Raw genomic sequence first — 12,007 nt, 5'->3', positions numbered from 1 at the left:
CTAACAATTTCCACAATGACCACATATTAAAAAGACAAAAAAAAAAAGAATTTTTTTCCTAATGTGGTGCTAAGTTTGGATTCCATACTGTGGAAACACCAACAAATTTTTTTTAAAAGAGGGACTGAAACAATAATAACTGAGGGGAAAAAAAAATACACTGGCAGGCAGGATGTAGCTTACCTTTTTTGATATCATTCCAGCACCTGCAGCACGTTTTATATCTTGGACTATGCTGCATTCCATCACAATAAACTCCTCTAGCTGTTTGGGATGACATAAACTATTGAAAGGGTGACTCCAGAAAGTGCTCCCATCAATATCTGCCACTAAAAATAAGGATAGAACACAAAAACATAAGAAAAATTATATATTTCAATTATCAAATGTATTAACTAAGAATAAACTGGTAGATACCAACTGGGAAGTGGCAGGTCAACAGAACTAGTGTCAACTCACTCCTTAGGGTCATCAATTACTCCTATAAACCAATCCCAAACTTCTCAAAGCACAAGAAAAATATATCAGATGTCAAACATATCTTAAATAGTTACTATAACCAGAATGCCACAGGGCTAAGTGCCTCTTAAGTAAGATCAGAGCCAATCAGTGGTACAGCTGTTTCACGTGCTGGCACTTTATTTTAGAAACGTATCTGTCACCTTAGCTGCTTAGTTTATGGGAAATAAAGCCTAGTTCTACCAGATAGGTAAAGAATGTCCATCCCAATATTGCTAACAGATCTTTAACTTATGAATCCTAACTGATAAAGATAATGAATGACTTTGAAAAATATCAAAATAAACTCACTTTTTGTATAAAGGAAACTTATATTACAGAAAATACATGAAAAAGATCAAGCAGAAGATACATCCAAATACTAAGATACCTACCAAAATGTGGTCTTCCTTAAAAAATAATTTATTCTATAGACAATGTTAAAAAATGATCTACAGTAATAACAAAATTGGTTAAAATTCATATTCAAACTAAATGTTCCAATGGGCCACAAAAAGCCAAATGTTCCAAAATTTAAAATAACTGCTAGACACCAAATTTTGGCAATGGACTTAAGTAAATAGTCACAAAAATTAAATGAGGTAAATAAGTCAATTTCAGGCTGGACATGGTGGCTCACGCTTGTAATCCCAGCACCTTGGGAGGCCGAGGCGGGCAGATCACGAGGTCAGGAGTTCAAGACCAGCCTGGCCAACACAGTGAAACCCCGTCTCTACTAAAAATACAAAAATTAGCTGGGCATGGTGGCAGGCACCTGTAATCCCAGCTACTTGGGAAGCTGCAGCAGGAGAATAGCTTGAACCTGGGAGGCGGAGGTTGCAGTGAGCTGAGATTGCGCCACTGCACACCAGCCTGGGCAATAGAGCCAGACTCCATCTCAAAAAAAAAAAAAAAAAAGTCAATTTCAGTAAAAATTAATGGAATAAACCAGTAAATATGTAAAAATTAACAGAATTGTTTCTTTAAATAAAAAATACAAAAGTAACTAATCAAAGCTTGCAAATTCCACAATGTTTTGTATTAAACAATAGCACAAATTTTAACTAACCTTTCAAAACAATATTAGCAAGAATGCTTGAAAAATTAACAACACAAATTATTATTGTTTGTCATACAAAACAAAATTGTCAAGGCAAATCATTTCCAGAATTTACCTTGTAGGGTGTTTGGATCAATGAGGTGAATGGCACTGGTTACTCGAATACACACACAAATCTGGTTCATATTTCCCAGGCTTTGTGCCAGTTTTGGAGACAGACAGACAACATTATCCTAGGCATAAGAACTAACATTTAGAATGAGGCATATCCTAAATAACAGTCCAATAAACACTCATCAATAAACACCCAATCCAATTGCATTTGACCAACCAAAACGTTATTTTCAATTCTATCAATCAACAAAGAGACTAAAGAAAAGAATCAGACCTTAAGTATGACAGGCATCTTGTCTTAATAAAAATGCTTTAAAAAAAAAAAAATCCTGGCTGAGCACGCTGGCTCACTCCTGTAATTCCAGCAATCTGGGAGGACAAGGTGGGAGAATCCCTTGAGCCCAGGAGTTCAAGTCTAACCTGGACAACATATGGAGACCCTGTCTCCATATACATATATATATATATTTTAATTAGCCAAACGTGGTGGTGCATGCCTGTGGGCCTAGCTACTTGGGAGGCTGAGGTGGAATGACAGCCTGGGCCCAGGAGGTCGAGGCTTCAGTGAGTTAAGGTGGTGCCACTGCACTCTAGCCTAGGTGACAGAGCAAAACTGTCTCTCAAAAAAAAAAAAAAAATCCAGGGCCCAAATCACCAAGCTATTATTATTTCCATTTTATTGCAGTGTGAATGCCTCTTATCACTCTATATGTTAATACAGTGTACATTCTAAACAGAGTATTATAAACATTAGCAGGAGAGTGATTCTATAAATCCACCTGTGACTTCTTTCAATCTCCATTAAAAAATAAACTTCAAAGGAACACATTTCTCTTACATGGCTACATGTGCCAATATACAATCAAAGATTTAAGCCCAAAAAAGTCACATGTCTACATTTATATTGGGAGACATGAAGCAGCAACGTAATTATCTGTTTTTAAACTGAATTAAAATACAAAAAAGATCTGAGTTATATTTTAAGGTGTATCTATTCACAATCATAACAGCTCTTAGTTCAGTCCTTGGTTTTTAATACATGAGTTTCCAAAGATAAACAAATATACTTTTTTACATAGTTTAATACATATGTTAATTTTTACATGTGTAAAACTCAGTTACACAAGGCCTAAATATGCCCTCACACCTAAATTCATATTTCTCAAGATTTGTACCAGGGAAACATTTACTGTTTTAAACCAGAGGTTGGCAAAATGCCACCCTCAGGACAAATCTGACCCACCATCTGTTTTTGTAAATAAAGTTTTACCAGAACACGGCCCTGACATTCCTTTACATATTACCCATGCTACTTTTGTACAACAGCAAAGCTGAGTAGCTGCAAAAGAGATTATACGACCTGAAAGTTAAAAAATTTACCATCTGTCTCTTTACAGAGAAAGTTTGCTGACCCTATTTTAAGCTATCATTTCATCCCTAGTACATACTATAAAATAGCAATAGCAGTTTTAAAGCTTTGGAGACACAGACCTGGGTGCAAATCCTAGCTTCATCATTTTGTGATCATGTAACTTTGGGCAAGTTATCTAACCTCCTCAAACTTCAATTTCCTCATCGTCAAAATGATATGGCTTACCTCAGTTATTATGAGATGAGAATGAGGTGAAAGACACTAAAGTATCTAGATTAACTTTATGTAGAATGGTCACAATAATGGCAGTTATCATTCTTAGTGATTTAATACTGACATATAAATTCTTACATGGCAGAGACCTGTAGTTATACAATCCTCAGTACACAGCCTTCTATACTATAGATACTCAATAACTATTTATTGAATTTTAATTCATATTTTTCTGAAGCAGAGTTTTATCTTAGTACAATTAAATGAAATAATCTACATTTTAAATGTTTTATTCAGCTTATGTTTTAAAATCATAAAAATGATTCTATGATCTCATTTTCACATTATCACAATATTCTTTCATTTCTTGCCAAAATTTTGTTTGTACATATTCCACAAAGTGGCTCACTAATATTGATTTTAATGTCATTTCTTTTATTCAATTTCACTGAACTATATGATACAGGCTCATAGGATCACAAATTTCAAAGAATACGGACTTTTATCAACTATAACCAGGTCTTTTCATTTTAATACACCAAAATAAAAGGCATGTCAATTCATAATTATAAGCATGACTTTTTTAAAAATATATATCTTTTAACATGGCTGAATGTGTTAGAAGTCACTTAAGGAACTTATTCTAAATTTTTAACCAACCCTAGAGGAAAACCAGGAGCTACAAATTACATATAAGCCAATTAATTACTTGTACTCTTTTACAGATATGGATTAAATGAAAAAGAAAAGTACCTTGCATATTGGAACAATTTCCACAGAAAAAGTGCTTTTGTAATTGTATGTGTTACTATGGATATCTTGAGAGATCAGTCTTTGTGATGCTTTGTATCTATTAAGAAAAAAGTTAGTAGTAATATAAAGACAAAGATCATTAACCTGTATGGACTCAGGAATATCAATTTTCATTAAATCAAACCATCATTGTCCAAGGTCTAAAATGGCTTCATGATGCCTCCTCTGGTAAAACCTACTGTCCTGCACTTGCATGTCAAAACCTTCACCATTCTAACTAAGCCCTACCTATTTTGAACCTTTTCCACCAAACCTCTAGAACATGCTGTTGGCTCAGACCAATCTACTTTCTATATAGCATTATTAAAAGCCATACTAACGCCCACTGCAAATCTTTGTTCACACTAATAGTACCTTTCAATATAAACTCCAGCTATGAAAATTTCCCGATCTTTGGAGCACAAGTCCTACCACCTCTGTGAGTGGGTGGTTAACCCAATATATGCTTCCTGATTGTGTAAGTATTTCTACTACGATTTTAAATAAAGAGAAGTTGTCTGAGCCTGAAGAATATATGTGATCCGCATCCATTCCCAAGTCCTTAGATTTAGTCACATTCAAGGTTCAGAACATACCTACAGGGAACTGTACACTGAAGAAATTCGACCATCTTCTGAGCATGTTGTTTTGAGGAATAATAAAAATCCAGACCATCTTAAAAAAAAAAAAAAAGCCCTATGAAAATAATTATGCAAAATAGGATTCTCCTCTACTAACATGACTATATTATAAATTACATCTGTTTTAAACAAAATCAAATTATTAGAAAACTCTATTGTAGTCACAACAGATTAGAGATATCACTTAAGACTTCTTTGGCAAAAAGACAGACAAAATAAATCAGCAAATGAAAATAAAACTCGTAATTCTAATTCTAGAAAAAATAAAACTCAAGGCCAAGGGGGACAGAAAAACAAAGAACAAAGAAAGTTTATGAACAGCCGGGTGCGGTGGCTCATGCCTGTAATCCCAGCACTTTGGGAGGCTGAGCTGGGTGGATCATGAGGTCAGGAGATCAAGACCATTCTGGTGAAACCCCGTCTCTACTAGAAATACAAAAAATTAGCCGGACGTGGTGGCATGTGCCAAATCTCAGCTACTTGGGAGGCTGAGGCAGGAGAATCGCTTGAATCCAGTTGGCGGAGGTTGCAGTGAGCCCAGATCGCAACACTGCACTCCAGCCTGGGTGACAGAGCAAGACTTCATGTCAAAAAAAAAAAAAAAAAAAGAAAGTTATTTTATGTAATAAATGGAATAATCTACCAAGAAGATAACAGGAAACTATCTGAGAGATAGAAAACAAAAAGTACTAGAAAAAGAAAAGAAAAAATTAACAAATATTAACACATACAATCATTGTGAAGGACTAGAATAGGACTCTCTCAAAACCAAAATAATCATATTGACAAAAAATAGTAACAATTCACAGAACTTGAATAACCAACTATCAAGGTCGAGTTAACTGAGATTATAGAACACAGTTCTAAGAAAGAATACATATTTTATCAAACATTCATAAAACATTCATTTAAAAATCATGTATTAAGATTTTAAAAAGAAAAAGAATTTCAATAAATCCTAAACAGTAGAAATTACTAAAGACAACATTATCTCATCATAAAACAGTAGCACTAGAAATCAAGAAAGGAATAGCCAAAAGCAAACCTACCTAGCTGAGAAATATTAAAGATATTCTTGCAAATAACTAAATATAATTACCAAAACAGCCAATACTAAAATTACCCAGAATAGCCAAAACAATTTTGAAGAAAATGAACATTACACATTTAATGTCAAAACTCACTAACTTTAGTAAGTATGCAAGATAGCATGGTACTAATATAAGGATAGATATATAGATCAATGGGAGCAGACTTCAGATTCTAGAAATAAACCATTACATTTACAGTCAATAGATCTTTGACAGAAGACCCAAGGCATTCACTGAGGAAAGGACAGAGTTTTCACTGGGATGAAGAATATCCACATAGAAAAATATGAATTTAGACACTTATCTCACACTCTGCACAAAAATTAACTCAAGAGTTAGACCTAAATATATAAGACCTAAAACTATAAAACACTTGAAAGAAACTATAGGAGAAAATCTTTGTGACCTTGATTAGACAAACAGTTTTTAAGCATAACCCCAAAACCACAATTAAAAGAAAAAACTTGATAAACTGGACTTCAACAAAATTTAAAACTTTTGCAATTCAAAGGACACCATTAAGAATATAGAGTGTGAATTTTCTCCTACACACTAGGAGAAAATATGTGCAAACCATATATGCAGTAAGAGACTTGTATCCAGAATATGCTCAACATCGTTAGTCATTAGCAAAATGGAAATTAAAACCACAATGAGATACCACTTCATACCACCCTCTAGAATGGCTATAAACAAAAATATAAGAACAAGTGTTGAGGAGGATACAGAGAAATATTGGCGGCAGGAATGTAAAATGGTACAGCCACTTTGAAGCAGTTTGGTAGTTTTTTATATATAAACATAAATTTACCATATGACTTGGTAATTCCACACCTAAGTATGTACCCAAAAGAATGAAACAGCTGAGGTGCTTGCTGAGGGCAAATAAAATATGCAATGGGCAGTGGAAAAAGGTAGCTATAAGTACCAGCTACAGACCCATTATAGTACTCAGAAGAAAATTTATGATCTTAAATATATGTATTAGAAATTAAAAATAAACTAAGCTTTCAATTAATTAAAACAAAACAGAACTAAATAGAGTTGAGGGAATTAGTGTTAAAAACAAAATTAATAAAAAGATTGTTTAAAACTAAAAATAGTTTTTTGAAAAAACTAACATAATAGATAAAAGTAGCTAGTCTAAGGTGAGGTGAGTAGAAAGAGAAAAGATAAACATTAGGAACAATAGAGAGGACATAACTACAGTTACGGATGAGATTTATTTTATTTGTTCAATTTTATACCAAGAATCTAAAAAGCTAGATGAAATGGTTTTTCTTGGAAAATGGTATTAAAATTGACTCAAGGGGTAGAATACCTGAGAGGTGAATATCATAAAAGAAACTGAAAAGACGTCCCTTAGGAGATATCAAATTGGATGGCTTAATGGGCAAGTTCTTAAAAAACTTCTAGAGGTTAATTAAATGCTAGGTAGAAAGAAGGCAAGCTTTCTTTCTAACTCTTTTCAATGTCACTCACTTAACTGAGAGCAAGATTGGACAGAAGTATGTATGCATATGTATCAAACAGAAACCTCAAGAAATATCATACTTAGGTATGAAACATAAAAAGATAATTATGTTTGACATTAGCAGAAAATTAAAAATTCAGTTTCTCAGTTGCTCTAGCCACATTTCAAGTACTCAACAGCCAAATGTGGCTAGTGACTATACCATACTGGACAGTGCAGATAAAGAATTAAGTTGTTTTTTTTTTTTTTCCTAACAGAAAGTTCTTTTGGACAGTACTAATCCAGATATTATCAGTAAATATAAGATTACTTAGGTATGTTGAAATAAAAATCTGACATAATTTCAAATGCTTTTGAGTTTTAACTCACCATGAATCTCTTTGATACGAAGTGTATTCTGATGCATTCCATATTTCAGAATTAACTGTTCCAGATAGTAGAAAGTTTTTTTATGCAAAGTCTAAAATATAAATTATTTGATCAATAAATGCCCCACAAAAAAGCCATTTATAGGTATAGGACACACATACTATCTACAGATAGAGCATACTGATTTTTCAAACAATAACAATCTTTAAAGATTATCTAAAATGTAATAATGATCTATTTCCAAAGGTGAATGCTTCAGGGACCCAGACTATCCCTGGATTTAGAAAGAAGGAAAAGTTATAATTAACAAAGACGAAATATAAGATGTAGGACTCACTCATCATCTTCTCTCATTACCTTTTGCCTCACTTGAATCACAGCCTTCCAGAAATCCTTAGCTTCTACTCTATGGCAATCTCCACACATTTGGGACTGAACAACATAATCCACCACAAACACTTGTTGAAGGATAGCACCATTCATCACCTGATAAAACAATTACACTCCTTCATTCTTTTGGTTTTGTTTAATAACAAATATTTTCTTTAAAGAAGAACCTTTAATATTTAATTTAAAACTTTTTCCATTAATGCTTTGAGGACATCAATCAAATGTCCTCAAATTTAAAGTCATAAAAACAAGTTATACTATTTCAAGAACGGTATACAGATTTAATTCCTAAGATTTATTAGATTAGCATTTCAAATTTTCCTTTAGCTGAAGTGGTTGTGAGAATATTCTGTGTATATTTTACATATATATATATATATATAATTTTTTTTGAGACAGGGTCTCACTCTGCCTGTTGCCCAGCCTGGAGTACAGTGGCACGATCTTGGTTCACTGCAACTTCTGCCTCCTGGGCTCAAGTGATTCTCCACCTCAGCCTCCCAAGTAGCACACACCACCACGTCCAGCTAACTTTTGTATTTTTAGTAGAGATGGGGTCTCGAACTCCAGGGCTCAAGTGATCTGCCTACCTTGGCCTCCCAAAGTGCTGGGATCACAGGTGTGAGCCACCATGCCCAGCCTATACATGTTTACATAGAAAAATCATCCTTAGAAGAAAAAAATAAGGAAAACTTCTCAAAAAAAAAATTCCTTAATTTAATGATTCCCAAACATAACTGATCAGAAATCACATGGGAAGCTTTTTAAATACAGATTGAACATTCCAAATCCAAAAACCCAGAATCTGAAATTTCAGCTTCAAAATCTGAAACTTCTTGAGTTTCTAAATGACACTCAAAGAAAATGTTCACTGGAACATTTTGTATTTGAATTAGGGATGTTCAACCAGTTAAGTATAATGCAAAATTCCAAAATCCAAAAAATCCAAAATCTGAAACACTTCTTGTCCCAAGCATTTCAGATAAGGGATACTCAACCTACTTATAGATTCCCGGCCTCACATACAGAGAATTTTTGCTTCAGTTATGATGAGTCATTACAATGATCAGCCAAGTTTGAGGATCAGTACCTTAGACCATGTTTTTACTTCAATCCTTTCCTAATAAAAATAACTCTGGAAAAGTAAGTCTGCTAATCAGAAGCAATGACTACTCTTACTAGTGATCTAATTATTTGTACAGATGCTCAAAAGAAAACAAACAGCTAAAATTGAGTGTACTCTTTTTCTTTTAAGCTGTTCAAGCCATAAAATAACTTATCACTGGGTCTTCATTTTCACTACCTGCACTTTAACCATGCTGAGAAAATTATGTACTGCTTACCTCTTTCTGAATAGTCAGTTTAACTTTAAGTCTCTTAGAATGAGGCTCAGTCCAAACAAAGCCTGCATCTACAAGCCGTACCTTCAATAAAACACAAACAAAAAGAAACGTAAGTTCTCACCTAGGAGGAAAAAAAACACGAAAGAACAAATCATCAATAAGCAGATTTCATAAGATGCTTAAGGAATCTGTGATCAGCATACTACACACCATCATCACAAAAAAAGATTAATCATTGGTTACGTAACAACAGCAGCAAATCAAAGGACAACCCAATGACTATATTAATGCAACTGATATAATTTAAGCAAAAATTAAAGTATTTGCATAGGAAAAAAATTCTTTTCCCTTAAAAAAAAAAAAAAAGTACATTGTCCTTTAAAAGGAAATTATATTTTTTGGAGGAAAGCAAAGACCTTGTGACCTCATTATTTATTAGTAACCTCATGAACAAAAGTTTCCACTTGGATTATTCTCTCTATATTCTGTGACTTTTTTTAAGAAGTGACATTGATTAGAGAAGTTGCATGCACTGAATACTAAATCCACAACTATAACTCACTACTAAATCTGCAGCATCTGCATAGGCCAAAACAGTTTGCTATATGTGAAGATCTGAATATAACTCAAGAATGGCCAGAATGGGTGTTTGGGGAGAAGGGGTGGGTGGGAGAACAAGAATGGAGGCTGCTGTAATAACCTGGGCCAGATTGTAGATGATCTGAACTGAGAGGCACTGGAAATAACAAAAGCAGATGCAAGGGCTAGTTAGGAGATAAAAATCTGTAAGATTTATCTGCACAGTCCAAGTGATGCAGAAAAAAAATCTGTAAGATTTAATGGTAACTGGATATGGAAAAGAGGAAGAGAACAGACTCCAGAATGATGCTCAAGTATTTGCTTAGACAACTAGGCAGTACACTTTTTGTGACTACCTATACCGAAATAAACAATGGATATAATGAGAAAAAGATGTTACATTTGATTTCAGACATTTCAGTTTAAGACAGTATCTGTGAGATACCCAAGAGGACTTTTCAGTGAACAGTAAGATACAATTGGTCTGGAGATCTATAAAAAAATTTGGGCTGCAGTTAACAGATTTGAGAGGTATCAGCAGCAGATTATACTTTTATCAAGCACTGTCTGGTAAAAAGTAGACTGGCCACTTTTAGTGTAGATGCAAAGATTCAACACACCAGAGTAAAACCCTCCTCATATAGCTGGCCTCCCTAAAACAAAGCCTAGTAGTTAACAAGTGATGCCAGGTACACAGGGTGATAGGCAGATTCCTATTCCTTCAATCTCCATCAGCAGTGGTTAAAAAAAAAAAAAAAAAAAAAGCCCCAAAGGCACTGAATAAGACTGATCTTCCCCTCAAGCTCCAACCTCCACCTGCAGGAATGGAGAGTCTCCTTGACATCCTGCTCGGCATTCCCCAACACAACCACTGCACTATGTGTCCTCAGACAACCATGACTAATCAACTTTATTAGTCCCTTTCTTTCTTTACCATAGTCCCAGACACCTCAGTCACCCCTATTTCCCATACTCCAATTTCCATATGGTTATGCATATTCCCTATTCTGTCCCCATCTAACACTCCTCCCCGAATCCTAAAACCCTTCTACTGTGCCCTCCGGAGCTCAACATTCATTAACAATGAAATCTCCTAAATCCTCAACTTTGCTGAACATTCCCTTCACCTTCTAGATCTCCTGATTTCTCTCTCCCCTGCAGCTATATAAAGTGATAACTGATTCTTCCTATCACTGGACCAGGCACCAGACAGCTATCGTCCTTGCTCTTCATTGCTAATTACAGACCATTCTCCTTGTCTCCTCCTCAAATATACCCAGCTCTAAGTCTAAAGTCATTAGACTCTACCACCCGCAACTCTCTTTTTTATAGTAATCTATTCATCTTTGTATCACTTGTTTTCATTTCTCAAAAGATTTTAGCTTCTGGCTCACCATCACACTTTCCAACAATATTAATACCTAGCGATTTCAATATCCACACAGGTGATCCCCACAATACCCTGACCTCTCACTCCATTCTTTGAGTTCTTCTTCTCCCAAAATATTATCCACCTTCCTATCTCAGTCACTCATATGCCTCTATTACCAGTAACTGCAAACCCTCCAAACTATCAATTCCAAACATCCTACTCCCTGACTACCACCTCCCATCTTTCCAGCTTATTTCCTCTAGTTCCTGGGCACCAAATATCTTTCAAGCTAATATAATGGACAATCCATTCATCCTACCAACTTTATTCCTCATTCCTCCTCACTAGCTTCAAAATCAATAATCAAAATTATTCTCATGTACACACTCAATTTCCTTGTTCCCTCTCTTATTTCACCTTAGCCACTAGGCTAAATTATAAATTTGGTTAAATCCAGTGCTCTGCCTGCTCTATGCCTTGACTATGTGGCTGACAGAACTACAGAAATAGATGCACACCACAGTGACTAGTCTAAACTTGTAACAGTAACCCTCAGCACTGCCCAGCACCCATCCAACACTGTCCTGGTGCATTTCCTCTAGTTCTAGAGGACTATTTCATATCTTCCGCTCTCTCCTCAAACATCTATCTAACAGCTCTTCCCACATAGCTACTGCCCACGCTTCTGTTTTCTCCAGT

General features: G+C 34.8%; 1 protein-coding gene across 5 annotated transcripts in view; it reads right to left on the bottom strand.

The window, feature by feature from the left end:
- NMD3 (NMD3 ribosome export adaptor) overlaps positions 1–12,007 on the bottom strand; it is a 32,431-nt gene that overhangs the window by 10,696 nt on the left and 9,728 nt on the right. For all 5 annotated transcript variants that reach the window (XR_007095682.1, XM_005247511.3, NM_001320227.2 and 2 more), the window contains exons 5-11: positions 9,358–9,438; positions 7,982–8,110; positions 7,625–7,715; positions 4,646–4,724; positions 4,011–4,107; positions 1,674–1,791; positions 184–329 (exon numbers count right to left, since the gene is read on the bottom strand). Coding sequence is in view for 4 of the 5 variants with exons in the window: in XM_005247511.3 (XP_005247568.1) it covers positions 184–329; positions 1,674–1,791; positions 4,011–4,107; positions 4,646–4,724; positions 7,625–7,715; positions 7,982–8,110; positions 9,358–9,438 (741 nt within the window). In the remaining variant the exon portion in view is untranslated. The remainder of the gene's footprint in view (positions 1–183; positions 330–1,673; positions 1,792–4,010; positions 4,108–4,645; positions 4,725–7,624; positions 7,716–7,981; positions 8,111–9,357; positions 9,439–12,007) is intronic.

The sequence above is a fragment of the Homo sapiens genome, chromosome 3 (assembly GCF_000001405.40).
Source record: "Homo sapiens chromosome 3, GRCh38.p14 Primary Assembly".
NCBI classification, from domain to species: Eukaryota; Metazoa; Chordata; class Mammalia; order Primates; family Hominidae; genus Homo; species Homo sapiens.
The sequence above is the reverse complement of the archived record's forward strand: the minus strand, read 5'-3'. Positions and strand labels throughout refer to the sequence as shown.